The 14,491-nt window shown below is 53.4% G+C and overlaps 1 long non-coding RNA gene across 1 annotated transcript, besides 2 other annotated features; it reads right to left on the bottom strand.

Annotated features, from left to right (window-relative positions):
- Positions 1–1,064: 1,064 nt before the first annotated feature.
- On the bottom strand, positions 1,065–1,791 carry TILAM (TGF-beta induced lncRNA activating myofibroblasts). The gene is made up of 3 exons (NR_110806.1): positions 1,710–1,791; positions 1,503–1,565; positions 1,065–1,374 (listed from the first exon to the last, which is right to left on the bottom strand). It is a non-coding gene; the product is annotated as a TGF-beta induced lncRNA activating myofibroblasts (long non-coding RNA).
- Positions 6,086–6,651: an enhancer, noted in NCBI's record as "H3K27ac-H3K4me1 hESC enhancer chr17:48287195-48287760 (GRCh37/hg19 assembly coordinates)". NCBI's record gives its function as "activates a minimal SCP1, AML or CMV promoter by ChIP-STARR-seq in primed H9 embryonic stem cells {active_cell/tissue: H9 hESC(primed)}" and the evidence as "EXISTENCE:reporter gene assay evidence [ECO:0000049][PMID:30033119]".
- Positions 10,260–10,761: an enhancer, noted in NCBI's record as "H3K4me1 hESC enhancer chr17:48283085-48283586 (GRCh37/hg19 assembly coordinates)". NCBI's record gives its function as "activates a minimal SCP1, AML or CMV promoter by ChIP-STARR-seq in naive H9 embryonic stem cells {active_cell/tissue: H9 hESC(naive)}" and the evidence as "EXISTENCE:reporter gene assay evidence [ECO:0000049][PMID:30033119]".

The raw sequence follows: 14,491 nt of genomic DNA, 5'->3' as shown, positions 1-14,491 counted from the left end.
TTCTTCCCATCCCCTGGAATGCATGCACTTACCAAGGCTCCTTGGCACTTTTCTGGTCCAATTAACATGATGTCATCTGAAGAGTAGACCAATGCAGCCAGGCGCCATGGCTCACGCCTGTAATCCCAGCACTTTGGGAGGCCGACTTGGGTGGATCACCTGAGGTCAGGAGTTCGAGATCAGCCTGGCCAACATGGTGAAACCCCATCTCTACTAAAAATACAAAAATTAGCTGGGTATGGTGGCACACACCTCTAATCCCAGCTACTCAGGAGGCTGAGACAGGAGAATCGCTTGAGCCTGGGAGGCGGAGTTTGCAGTGAGCTGAGATTGTGCCACTGCACTCCAGCCTGGGCAACAGAGTTAGACTCTGCCTCAAAAAACAAAACAAAACAAAAAACAAAAAAACTGTGGTGGCCCTGTCACCAGAAGTATGTAAGATCTAAGATCTAGTTTATAATTCCCTGTCTAGGGTTTTATAGCTCAAAACCAAGTACTGAACAGAGCTTGGCCTAAATTAATGGTTTTCAAACTTGGTTCCATGGTATCCTGGGGGTTTCTTATAATTCTCGGGGGGTTTCATGGAGATTCATATTCAGGGGATCATTTCTCATCACTGCTGTGACCATGGCAACTCCATTCTTGTCTGTTCACAGATTAGGACTCTGCAGAAGGTTTTGTTTGTGGAAAGGCTTTTACTGCTGAAAGCTAACAGTAGGACATTCTATGGAATACCTGACCAGTACTCCTTGAAACTTCAGTCACGAAAAACAAGGAGAGACTGAGAAACTCTCAAGAACCAGAGGAGACCAAGGAGACACAAACACCAAATGCAATGTGATATCCTGGGTGGAATGCCGGAACGGAAAAGGGACCTTAGGAGAAAAATTCATGAAATCCGAATAAAGTCTGGAGTTTAGTTCACAGCAAAGCACCAGTGTTGACATCTTCATTTTGGCAAATGTTCCATGATGATGTAGGAGGTTAACATTAAGAGAACTGGATAAGGGATATATGGGAACTTTCTGTACTTTCTTTTCAACTTTTCTATAAATCTAGAATTATTAAACCCAAATTGTAAAAGTTTATTTTTAAAAGATAGCATTCAAAAACCGTCAGACAAATGAGCTCCAAATACATCCAGAGATGAGAAGAAAGACGGTGACCTGATTCTGGAAGTTCAGATGTCCATGTTGGTGACCTGATTCAGGAAGTCTTTCAGGAGGATATCAAGCTTGGATCTTGGATAGAACTGGGATGCGAGGCACTGGTGATTGGGCAATATCCCTGCCTGTAGGATTCTTTGTGGAATGCTGGATATTCATATTCTGGTCTTTTCTTATCTCTGGTTGCCTCAGGGAAGTAAGAACCCATCTGGGAAAGAGAGGACAGGACTGAAGAGGGACTCAAGGAAGTTGAGCTTACTGGATTGGGGGTGAATGTTAAAGTTCCAGTTTGAACAGGTTTGGAGGGAGAGACGGATGGTGGGGAGGGCATCATACCTTCACCCTTGCTAAATACTTCCTCTTCTTTCCAGCAGAGCCCAAGCTGGAGACCAGGAGAATCTAGAGGAAGGAGGTGACACAGGCCTGCTCCTAGTCTGATGGGAAAACCTACGTTATACCCTCAAAGAACCCCAATCTGGTATGGGAGACACACTCCCTGACTTCAGAGAGCTCTCTGTCTGAACGAGTGGACGCAATGCCTACCTTTAAGGAGACCGTCTGTCTGATGGGAGGGACACAGCTTCTTCCTCCAATCCGAAGGGGAGATGGGACACATCACATGCACACTGCTGGTAGCTGGGCTGACCTTTAGACATTAGTATTCAGGGACAAGGATAGCCTGGGAGGAAGGCTTGAGGATGACCTGTGGTCCTTTGTGAAGAGAAGGCCAGTGTAAAGGGTGCCGGGATGGAGCTGATGCGCCCCCGGGGAGTGGGCCCTGCTCAGACCTAGATGTCCATATTGGTGACCAAGCTCTGATCTGTTGTCCCCACAGGGGTCTACCAGCTGAAAAGCAGTGAGGAGACAGGGAAGGACAGGAGACACACAGAGCCATATATGGAAGAAGATCTGAAATGGAGTGATAAAGATAGATATGAGGCTGGGCGCGGTGGCTCATGCCTGTAATCCCAGCACTTTGGGAGGCTGAAGCCGGTGGGTCACCTGAGGTCAGGAGTTCGAGACCAGCTTGACCAACATGGTGAAGGCCTGTCTCTCCTAAAAATACAAAAAATTAGTAGGGCATGGTGGCATGCGCCTGTAGTCCCAGCTACTCTGGAGGCTGAGACAGGAGAATTGCTTAAACCTGGGAGGCAGAGGTTGCAGTGAGCTGAGATCTAGCCGCTTCACTCCAACCTGGGCGACAGAGCGAGACTCCGTCTAAAAAAAAAAAAAAAGGAAAAAGAATAGATATTAGTATATGATAAAAATGCAGGCAGAAGCGAAGAGAGATTCCTGCTCCCAGACCTCCCCTCACCCCCTACCCTATCCCCCACCCCTGCCCTGGCCCCAGCTGGCACCCCATTTGCATCTCCCTGTGTCCATGCTCCCCAGTCAGGCGTTACCTCAGTATTTTCTTTCACTAGGGGTCAAAGGCAAAACAGAGCCAATATCCACATGTGCCAGCTTGTGGGGGAGGAGGAACTCTGGAAAAGAAGGAGAGTGAGAGCAGGTACAGCCCCCATCTACCATGTGGTACACACCAGGCTGGGTCAGGAGGAGGGGGCAGGGAAGAGCCGTCCCGGGGGCCTGTGCAGAGTTGGGCACAACACAGCAGTCAGTAATAGTTGATGACTGACTGAATGAGTAGCATGCAATCAATATTAGAGAATGGGCCATAGCACAGTGGTTAAAGCCTGCGTTCAAATCTCAGCTCTGCAACTTCCTAGCTGTGTGACCTTGGGCAAATTACTTAACCTCTCTGAGCCTCAGTTTCCTCATTTGTAAAATGAGGATAAGAATATTGAAAGGAACCTACATCCTAGGATTGTTGCGGCCTTGCATCTAGCTCATGCCTACACGGAACTTACAACAGGGCCTGGCACACAGGAAACACCAAAAAGCCCTTAGCCTGTGTCGTGCAGGTACTACATGAGTGTGATTTTCCTGTCTGTGACATGCATGTGTGCTCACTGGGGATATGGTGTGTGCAGGGGGTGCTTCTGGGCTGGTGACAGTGAGGGTGGCAGGTGGTATTGGAGAGTGGGAGGAGCACTAGCTTTGTGGCCAGGCCAGGCAGACATGGGATCTATTCACAGCTTTACCACTTCCCAGCCAGGGGGGAAGCCCCAGCAAGGGGCTTCCCCTCACAACAGAATGAGCATAAGCCCTTCCTGGGGCATTGTCAATGAGGAGGTGCAAAGTGCTTCTTCAAACACTACCGAGAGCTGTAATTTTTTTTTTTTTTTAGATGGAGTTTTGCTGTTGTTGCCCAGATTGGAGTGCAGTGGTACGATCTCAGCTCACTGCAACCTCTGCCTCCTGGTTTCAAGCGATTCTTCTGCCGCAGCCTCCTGGGTAGCTGGGATTACAGGTATCCGCCATCACGCCCAGCTAATTTTTTTGTATTTTTAGTAGAGACGGGGTTTCATCATGTTGGTCAGGCTGGTCTTGAACTCCTGACCTCAGGTGATCCACCCACCTCGACCTCCCAAAGTGCAGGGATTACAGGCGTGAGCCACCGCGCCCGGCCAAGAGCTGTAATTCTTTCCAACATTCTGCGTGGTCTGTTGTATGTGGCTGTGTGTGTCTAGAAGCCATGTAGATTTGGAAATAGGGGACGTGTGGATCAATGAGAGAAGCCTGATCTGGCTGTCAGGACACCTGGGTTCTTTCTGAGCTTGAGAAAGGGGATCTTGCACAACGCCTCGGCCCTTCTGACTCTACAGCTATAAAATAGAGATATTAAGGCTGACGTCCCAGAGCTGTTGTGAGGATTAAAGGAGATGTCGTGTGTGTGGTGGTCAGCTCACAATAGTTCTCCAGCAAAAGGGAGGGAGGCAGCTCTGTTCTGATCTTTCCAACTACTGGTGGTGCCTGTGGTCTGTTTCCAGCCACGTCATCCCGTGATCCTTTCCATGCATGCACACAGATGGAAGCCTGTTTATGCAAATAGCCACTTCTTTAGATGAAGGGGGAGGGCATCCCTTGGACCATCCCGGGTCCCTTGGACCAGCTGGGAGTAACAGATAAGCCAGGCTGCCTGGGTTTGAATTCCAGCTCAGCCACTTGCTAGCTTTGTGACTTCAGGCAACTGACTTGACTTCTCTGTGCCTCTCTTTCCTCCTTTGAAATTGGAGACAATTGGAGCACCCATCTCAGAGGGCTTTTGGAGGAGTACAAAGGTGTAAAGTACTTACGGCAGAGCCTGGCACAATCATTTGTTGTTATTCTGAAGTTGGGCCAGGTCCGGAGGGTGTGCTCCGCTGCCCAGTTCCCATGCCTTTCCTGGCCAGCAGATATCTCATCCCCTGGAACAGTCCCTCCTGAGCTCTGACCAGTCTCCCTCAGGCGGAAGTTCCTAGAAGGGTGCAACCTGGGGCAACAGCCAGGACAAGCTGCTAAAATGATCGCACTTCAGAGGAGGCCTCCGGATGTCAGTGGGACAGACTTTGTTGGAAAGCGAATGTTCATAATGTTCAGGAAAGACAAGTGAAGGGCACCCTTTTGCAGGTCCCCAGCTGGGTAGGAAAGAACCAGCCTTTCTCAGCTCTATTCTCTCTCCTCACTCAGACTCCCTCCCACCCAAAACTCAGAAAGAGCCTTAGGGCAGAGTCAGAGTGGTCTTTGGCAAGGTCAGAGGTCTGATACTCTGAAGTTCAAATCTCACTGCCCTGCCAGTGACCTCAAGAGGAGGAGAACCAGGAGTAGAGAAATGTAAAGAGGGTGGCTAAAGGGGGTGGGGTGGGGGCTGGGGGAGGTATGATTGGAATGAGAGAAGAAATGGTGGGCTGTCAGAAAGAGGGAAACAGAAATTGTGGGGATCTGCTGTACCCAAAATAGGCAGAGGGCCACATGTGCGTGTAGATGTGTGTGTAAGTGTGCATCGGTGAATGTGTGAATGAATGAACGTGCCTGAGAGCACAGGTGGGTTTGAGTGGGTGTGAGTGCCTGAGTCTATCTGACTGTGCAGAGACAGGATCATAGACTCACCCATGGGTAGAGACTTTTTCTGTTCATCCCCCTTATTTTCCAGTTGAGGAAACTGAGGCTCATTGGTGGGGAGTGAAATGCCCAGACATGCTGGGAGGGGGTGGAGAGGAGCTTTTCCTAGCTTGGTCTTCCCTTCAGTGTCCCCTCCCCCGACCCCCCAGCTATTTCTTGAGATCAGAGGGAGGGGGCAGGCCAGGGCTGCTGGGGAGAGGAGGGAGAGAAGGAGGGGGGTGGCAGGCAGCCTTGCAGGGCACAGGGGCTCTGCGGGAAGGGTCCAGACACGTGGCCTCCCCCTTTTCTGCGGACGTGGACTCCCCACCCAGCAGAGACGTGTCATCCCTGGAGCGGGCAGCAGAGCCTCTCCAGCTTTTCTGCCAGATCCAGCCTCGAATGCGGGGAGGGCCCTTCAGAAGGACACTTGGGCAGATTCCCAGTCTGACAAAGCTGAGCCCTAAAAGGGAGTGGGTGAACCTGGGCCCACCCAAGTTCAGGCCCTCCCCTCCCCGCCTCTCCTCAGTGTCCCCACCTGGGAAATGGGAGAAAGTCAGGGAATTCTATCTGCCTTGGGAAGGTAGAATCTGGGTGAGGGGCGTGCAAGTCTTCGAAGCCTCCTTCCGATGGCAATCGGGGAGCAAGACCTCATCCCAGGCCTGCCTGTGGCTTCCTCCCCCACTTCAGAGCCCCCTGCCTGGGAGGGGCACCCTCTCCCTGAGTGTGGGGGAGGAGGAGAAAGAGGGTCCACGTCAGGAGAGGGAAGCCGCAGTCAGAACAGACATTCCCGATGACTCACAGCCCCGGAACGCCTTGAGAGCCGCAGGGGACAGCCCCCTGTTCAACTGGGGCAGCTGGAGACCCAGGACCCTGGGGGGCAGGGAAGCAAAGCGAGGGGGAGGCAGGGGTCAGAGGCAGAGCCTGGAGACAGGATTGAAGCGAAGGTCCCTGAGAGCAGCTGAGAGACGGAAGACAGCGTACCGCCCACCTCGTCCTAGCCACATACTGTGGTCCTCACACAGCAGAAGGAGGAAGACTAGATCTTACAAAGGACCCCCTCCTAGACCACCATGGAACTCTGCTTCTTGTGAATGCTTGAAAAGAGGAGGAATGTCCTGCCCCTGTCCCTTTCTGGGTCTGATCCTAGCACCCTCCTGCCCTGAGGAGGCAGGGGGATGGCTACAATGACCTCAGAGCCCCCACGTGATTCTCGCCCACTCCAACCCACTTCATTGTCATGCTTCTCCCATGACCTCTGTCCCCTCCACCTTCTGGGCCTCAGGTTTGAGGAGGTTTGAGGAGGGCAAACTGAGGCCCAGCCTGGTCTTGGGGGGCGCTGGAGGAACACAGCTGCTCTCCCCAGGCCAGTCTGACCCAGCAGAGCTCTGGGCTCAGGGCCTCTGTGTTCTGCTCTTCCTCCCTCCAGCGAAGATGCAGCTAAGCCTCCAGTCTACGTGGCAGGCAAGGGGGGAGCTTGCAAGAGAGGGGAGCTGGGAATGAGGTCAGCGGGTTGGATGGGCCAGGCCATGGCTGCGAAGGCATCTGGGCTGCAGCAGTCTGGAAGGTAGGGGCCTCCGGGTCAGGCCACTCCCAGCCCAAACCCGCCATCCACCCGCCCACCATGGCCTCCTTCCCGTCTCCTGCTCCTCCCCTCCCTGCAGCCCACATTCCGCCCGCCCAGGCCAGATGGTTCCCATCAAGGCTTTTCCATGTGGCAGTTCCTCCCTGCCCACCAGGCTCCCTTCCCCCTCTGGCCACATGGCTCAGCTGAGAGTTGGGGAGCAGCTCTCCTGGGCTGTCCTCCCAGGACCAACTGGGATTATGTGGGATCCCCGTGTCATGCTGTCGCCGCCATCCTCAGTGACCTCCCTGGCCCTGCGAGCTCCCCAGCCCTAACCGCCTGGGCTCTTGAAGTGTCATAGGGTTCTTACCTCTGATCCCTCAATCCTAGCTGTGTGACCTCTGGCAGCTACTTTCCTTCTCTGGGCCTCAGTTTTCTAATCTGTAAAAGGAGGGAAGAAAGGAATAAACTCGAAATTTCCTTCTAGCAGAATGTCTCTTATTCTGTGATATTTCCACCTAGAGACTCTAAAGCTCCGAGATCCAGCAGAGGTCAAACCGCAACTCTGGAGGTGTTATCTGGTCTACCTCTTTACCTGCTCCCGGCCCCATTTGTTTGTTCATCTCCATATCCATGAATTCCTCCCAACCCACCTATACTTTCCTCGAATCGTCCCCTCCCTTTAAGGGCCCTGGCCTTCTAACTTGAGTCCTTCTGCTGTCACCAAGGTATAAGTCCTCTGGGTGAGTTCTCGGCAAAAGGATCACAACCATTCTCCTCTCAAAGGCAGTCACCAACTCTCTATGGCCACCACTGAGTATAACTCCTTCCCCCAGAATCCCAGGCCTCCAGAAGTTGGCCCCAGCCTACTTTTCCAGCCTTATCTTCCTCTGCCTATGGCCTTATCTCTCTTTCTGTCTGTCTGTCTCTCACTCAATCTATGTCAAGCTTCCCAGGCTGGGCGGTGCCTTTCCTCCCACTTAAACACTGCATTTGAACCCTGTCACCCACCCTCCCAAGCCTGGCTGGAAAGCTGCCTCCTCCGTGCAGCCTTCCTTATCTCTCATTGGCACTCCCATCATCCTTTGTGTCCAGAGGCTTCCATTTACTGAGCAAGACATAGACCAGCAAGATGGTCTCACTACTACCCCAGTTCACAGACTGGGGAAATGAAGTTCCGAGATGGAGCATTTACTCAAAATCACACAGCCAGTGCTGCCTCAAGGGAGGGGCATTTTTGTGTGTGTTTTATTCCTCTTCCTGGCTCCCCACTCTCCCAGAATAGGAGCTATTGTCCCCAGAGCTCTCCCCAGCACACGGCTGGCCCCAGAAGGCCTGAAGTAACCACTCAGTGAAAAGGATCAACTACAGGGCCGGCAACAGGCACCAAACTCAGCATATTGTCCCCCAAGCAGGGTCCTTGCCCAGCCAGAAGCCCGGGATCATCCCTGTTCCTCACCAACCCCACCCCACATCCAATCCAACCCCAGCACCTGTAAATTTTGCTTCCCAAAGGGCTCTCAAGCCCATCCTCTTCTCTCTGTCTCCATTCCCACCTACCGGATCCAAGCCCCTCACCTGGGCAAGTATAGCAGCCTCTCAGCTGCTCCTCCACCTTTGACCACAGCCCTCCTCCCGCAGGTACCTACTCCATGGAGTGCCCATGGCTTTCTTTTACAAATGCAGACCTGATTGTGACCCTCCCCTGCGTCAGGCCCTCTGCTGGGGCCCATAGCTGAAAGGAGGCAAACTACACCTGTGATGGGGCTTCTCTGGCCCGCCCAGCCTTTGCCTGTGGTGCTCCAGCCACACTGGCCTTCCCTGAATTCCTTGGGCATCCAGCACTCGCCATGCCCCCTCCTGCCTTTGCATATGTGGTCCCATCACTATCCACCCTGCCTCCTATCCTTTTCCCATCAGCCTACCCAGGGAAGCCTTCCTAGGGCTCCAGGACTAGAGCAGACCCTCTGCCATGTCTGCCCATTCAAAGCTCTGCATTCTTCTTCTTAGTAACCTTAATGGTTGCACCTCCACGTTTATTCATGTGATTTCATTGCTGTCTGTGTCTTTACCAGACACAAACTCCATCAGGCAGACACAGGGTCTGTGCTGCTCACCATTGAATGCCCAGTACCCAGCAAAGTGCCTGGCACGTGACTATTGTTGCATGAATTTATCAGCAAATGAATGTAGCTCCTTAGCAAAATGGGGTGGGGGTGGCTTTTGGGAAGAAGGCAAGGTCATGTTATCCATACAGGATCCTTTCTGTGTCCGAGCCAGACTGTCCAAAGGGGCCCCTGCCAGGACCCCTGCCCAACACCCCGCCCTGAAACTCCAGAATCTCAAGTTTGCCAGGAGGAAGAACTCGTGGCTGGGGCAGAAGCAGAAGACAGAAGACATCGGTGGCCAAAACTTCCCTGGGGTGGGGGTTGTGGGGGGTGGGTATCAAGGAAGGAGATCAAGATCTGGAAGGTACCTCTGCCCAACAGAGGCTTCTCCTCAGCACCCCCCTTCTTTTATTTAAATTCAGGATTCAAAGGAACCCTGGCATTTATCTCCCAAACACAACACGGCAACCAGACATCTGGCTGTGATGCGAGCCCTGCACCACCCGCCCCCCGGCCACGCCCCCTATGGCTGCTGCCCTTTCTCCCCTGGAGCAGCTCACGAAGGCTGCACGCCCGCCTACAGCATGAGGAGACCCGGCAGAGCGCCATACCCCAGGATGGGCACCAGAGAACCGGGGACTGGGGAAGAGGAGATACCGGAAGAGAATAAGAGAGGAAAAGAGGGAGGGGGAAAAAAGTATGTGGGTGGAGAGGTGGGACAACGGGTCAGAGACCGAGGAAAGAAAAGGAAAGGAAAAAAAAAACTAAGAAAAGGAAGAAAAACGCATGAAGAGAAAAATTTGAAGGGAGAGAGGTTGGGGGTGGGGGAGAGAAAAGGTAAATGAATAGAAGAAAGAAAGGAAGAAAGGAATGGAGAAAAGCAAATGGGATAAAATAGGCACGGAATTGAACCAACCCAGAAAGGTGTAAATATTCAATCAATTCATGGGGCCAACTTTCTCTTTTTTTTTTCTTTTCTCTTTCTTTCTTTCTTTCTTTTTTTTTTTTTGAGAGAGAGAGTTTCGCTTTTTTGCCCAGGCTGGAGTGCAATGGTGTGATCTCGGTTCACTGCAACCCCCGCCTCCTGGGTTCAAGTGATTCTCCTGCCTCAGCCTCCCAAGTAGCTGGTACTACAGGCCCATGCCGCCATGCCGGGCTAATTTTTGTATTTTTAGTAGAGATGGAGTTTCACCATGTTGGCTAGGCTGGGGTCTCAAACTCTCGACCTCAGGTGATCCGACTGCCTCAGCCTCCCAAAATGTTGGGATTACAGGTGTGAGCCACCGCGCCCTGCCAAGCCAACTTTTAAGAAGAACTACACTGCCTCCAGACATCAGGAGCAGGGAGGGATATGACAGAAAAGCTGCCAGCTACCCAGCTGGGAGCTCACTCCAGCAGGAAAGATGGGGCTGACCCCTCACTTCTGACTACCAGAGAGCAGCAGTGAGAACTGGGGTCCCCTAACTCAACAACATCCCCCATCCAGTGCATTATTCTCAGCTGGGGCCTGGCTGGGACCTGGTGGGGTGGCTGGAGAGGGCTTGGGAGCTGGGGCCATGACAGACCTCGTGTCACCTGGGGCCATACCCCCAGCCCTTCTCTCTCCAGCTCCCAAGTTCTCCTCCTAGGACTGGGGTGGGGGTGGTGGAGGCAGCGGTCAGAGAATGGGGTGGGATCCGTCCAGGACTAGAAAACAAAGTTCATCTTCAAGAGCCTGGAATGAGGGCTTGTTCTAGGGGAGAATGAGGGGGAGGCTGGGCCTGGCTATGGACATTTGAGGGCTCGGGTCACCTGGAAAGAAAAGGAAAGGGGGAAGGAGAGCAAAAGAGGCAAATGAGATCCAGAAAAGGAGCTCTGGAGACAGAGGGGGATGGAGAAAGCAGCGAAGAAACTTGGAAGACAGAGGAGGGATGCAGGGGCCTGAAAGGAACGCAGGATCCGGGCTGGGAAGAAAGAGAAAGAGCAGGGGACAGATGCCTCTCTAGACTCCTGCCACAGCCAGACTCCTCCTCCCAGTCGCTGCCCTCTGACCTTGCTTCCTGGCCTCCCACACACTCCTTAGCCCACTCCAGTCCGGCTTCCTTGTCCATCTCTCCACCACAGCAGCTCACGCTGCGGGGATCAGTCACCACCATTCTGCTAAGTCCAGGGAACATTTTACTCCTTACCATACTAGTTCTCTCTGCAGCATATAACTCTCCTTCCTTCTAGTACCATCTCTTTCCTCTGCACTCATGACCCCCCAATCCCTCTCACCCAGCCCTCCTTCTCTGGCCACTCTTGCCCTATCTCCTCCTCCTCCACCCAGCCCTTACACCCTGAGGGTCCCCGAGGCTCAGTGCCAGCCCCTCCACACTCCCTCCCTCCATGCTTTCTCTGAGACAACACCATCCACAACCCCAGCTTCAGTTACCATCATCCTGGGACCCACATTTGTCTCTCCTCTGAACTCCTGACCCAAGTGCCCAAGGGTTTCCTCCGTATTTCTAATTGGATGTCTCACAGGCTTCAAACACTCAGCATGGACAAAACCTACTTCATCATCTTCCCCCTAACCCTGGAAAGGAAGGAAGGAGGGAGGAAGGGAGAGAGGGAAATCCTAGGAGGCTGGAGGACTTGGGTTTGGGGCTAAGGCATAGAAGAGCAGAGCTGTACCTGGAAGCTGAGGAACCTAGCAAAGGGCTCCGACTGTGCAATGCTAAAGCGAGGGAAGAAGAAGGGCCTGCACACACCCGGGGTCTATCCCCAGACTCTGCTCCAGGCTCCCTCAACAGGAACTGTGCAGGGCTCCATGATAGAGACTCATGGAGAGCTTCATCCTGGGGTCTTCACTGCACCCCCACTCTTAGACCCCGCCCTTCTGTCTCCTCAGACCCTCTCCTAGGAACCCCCTCTTTATCATCAGTCTAGGGCTAGAGGTGGGAGCAGAGAAGCGTTCTGGAGAATTGGAGTTGGGGGAAGAGCAACAGAACCTCAACTGGGGGCTGCAGCAGCTGGAAAGGGTGACCCCGATGTGCAGGGCAGGGGTGCATGCCCCCCACCAGGTGCACAACACCTGGGCTACCTCTTCCAGGTGTGTTCTCCTCCTTTGTCCCATACCATGGAGTCCAGATGGGGCACCTGAGGAGCTCTGAGGGTGGGGGCCTTTTCCCTCCTTCTTTGGTGTTGGAGGGGGGCACTTGGGGAAATTTGGAGAAGGAGAGAACTCAAGCTCAGCACTTTCCTCTTTCTGTTTTTCTTCTTAAGGAATTTTTTTTCCCTAACTGCTGATGACTTTACCATTTCTTGGGGGTGTGGGGAGGAGATTTTGGCTTTTGCTCCCCCCCACTTTAAGTGCCGGACAAAGTCTTACATTCCACAAGAAGCCAGAGCTTCAGAGTTTCCTAAAGATGAGGTGGCGTCTCCTCCTCTCACAGGCACAAGCTCCCTCCTCCTCCCACCCCCCATCCCCCCAGTCTGCAGCCCTCAATCCTGGCCAGGAAGGCCCAGCCAGGCTGGGAGGAGACCCCAAGCACATTCTTCCTCTCACTGTCATACTGCAGAAATTAAAGACACATCTTCAGCCTGGGCACCCGCCAAGCGTTTTAAGTCGAAGAGTGGCAGGGGAGGCCTTGAGCCTCAGCTCCATGCCACGTGTAAAGGATGCTTGGAAACTGTCTGCCTCGGCCCCTGGGAGGAAGGCCTGGAACTGGACATTGGGGTGGTGGCTGTCACACGCCAGGCACACAAAACTCCAAAGCCAGGGATCCCCAAATATCCTTCAGAACCCCAGGCCCATGATGTAGCAACCCCCAATTCACACCTTGGAGGTTTCAACTCTTCTTTAAGATGGGCGTGGGAAAGCCTGGATGGGAAACATATGGGGAGGGGCGGGGAGCTGCAGGCAGGAGCCCTTCTTACTACGAAAACCCAAGAAGCAAGGAAGTGGACAGGTCACTAACCCTCATACTACCAAGCCCTGCGGCACCCTGCCCTAGACCACCACTCTAAATGTCTGTTCCCTCCAAAAACAGGACCCCTGTCGCCTATTAGGGAGGGGTTCTCTTGGAACTGACCCACAGTAGGGGGCAGGACTTTGGTGGGTTCAAGAACTGCCATCTCAGCACCTCAGCCCCCTAGTCCTGCCCTGCAGTCGCTGGCACTAGGCGGGGGCAGACCCTGGGCCACAAGTTGCTGCCACATGGTCGGGATAATTGATGAAGGTCCATCCCTCCATTGCTGTCTCCAGCCCTGCCTCTCTGGAAACTCTATATTTTCCCTTTAATTATAGCCCCTGCAGTCTCCCTCTGCTGCCCCACCCGCACCGCTCATCCTGGCTGCCCACGGCCAGCCGGCCAGCCGACGTGGCTCCCTCCCCTTCTGTTCCTTTTTTTTCCCCTTTGCCTTCGTTGCACAAAACCAGCTGGGGGAGGGCGTGGAGAGGGGCGGGGGGAGGCAATGGAATCTTGGATGGTTTGGGGGAGGCGGGACTCCCCGCTTCCACGTTTGCAGCTCTGGAGCACCCGGGGTGGGGAGCTGCACAGGAGGGAGAGAAATGAACAGGGCACTGCAAGGAGACCCCCAGGCCTTCTCTCAGCCCTACAGAGTTTCTCAGGACGAGGTAGATTGGGGTTGAGGCAGAGCCTTGTTGGGGGAATGGGACATGGAGGAAGAAAGGACGTGGAGTTCTAGAGCCATCTTCCTTAGATATAGCCTGCTGTCCTTCGGGTCCCCAGACCCTTTCAGAGTGTACAGATGATTCTCTCTGGTTCCTAAGGCATAGAGCAATGACCGGGATTTTCAAGAAAGAGATGAGGCAGTGGGAAGTAGCCCCTAAAACAAAGTCAATCATCCTCTGCAGCCCATCCCACACCCCCAAAGGAAAGTTTCACCCAGACACCCAAAATATCCCATACATCCCCAACACTGAGTCCAGGTACAACTGGAGAAGGGGCTTTATGCAGCTCCCAGAAAGACACCCCTTTAGCTAAGTGCCCTCCCTCCACCCAGGTTCTCTCTGGTTTGACTGTGCTGGGAAGGAGGGTCTCTAAGCAGCCCCTGGCCACAGCCATGGCAAACAAAACTCTTCTCTAAGTCACCAATGATCACAGGCCTCCCACTAAAAATACTTCCCAACTCTGGGGTGGAAGAGTTTGGGGGATGAATTTTTAGGGGATTGCAAGCCCCAATCCCCACCTCTGTGTCCCTAGAATCCCCCACCCCTACCTTGGCTGCTCCATCACCCAACCACCAAAGCTTTCTTCTGCAGAGGCCACCTAGTCATGTTTCTCACCCTGCACCTCAGCCTCCCCACTCCATCTCTCAATCATGCCTAGGGTTTGGAGGAAGGCATTTGATTCTGTTCTGGAGCACAGCAGAAGAATTGACATCCTCAAAATTAAAACTCCCTTGCCTGCACCCCTCCCTCAGATATCTGATTCTTAATGTCTAGAAAGGAATCTGTAAATTGTTCCCCAAATATTCCTAAGCTCCATCCCCTAGCCACACCAGAAGACACCCCCAAACAGGCACATCTTTTTAATTCCCAGCTTCCTCTGTTTTGGAGAGGTCCTCAGCATGCCTCTTTATGCCCCTCCCTTAGCTCTTGCCAGGATATCAGAGGGTGACTGGGGCACAGCCAGGAGGACCCCCTCCCCAACACCCCCAACCCTTCCACCTTTGGAAGTCTCCCCACC

This window comes from Homo sapiens, chromosome 17 (assembly GCF_000001405.40).
Source record: "Homo sapiens chromosome 17, GRCh38.p14 Primary Assembly".
Lineage (NCBI taxonomy): Eukaryota > Metazoa > Chordata > Mammalia > Primates > Hominidae > Homo > Homo sapiens.
The sequence above is the reverse complement of the archived record's forward strand: the minus strand, read 5'-3'. Positions and strand labels throughout refer to the sequence as shown.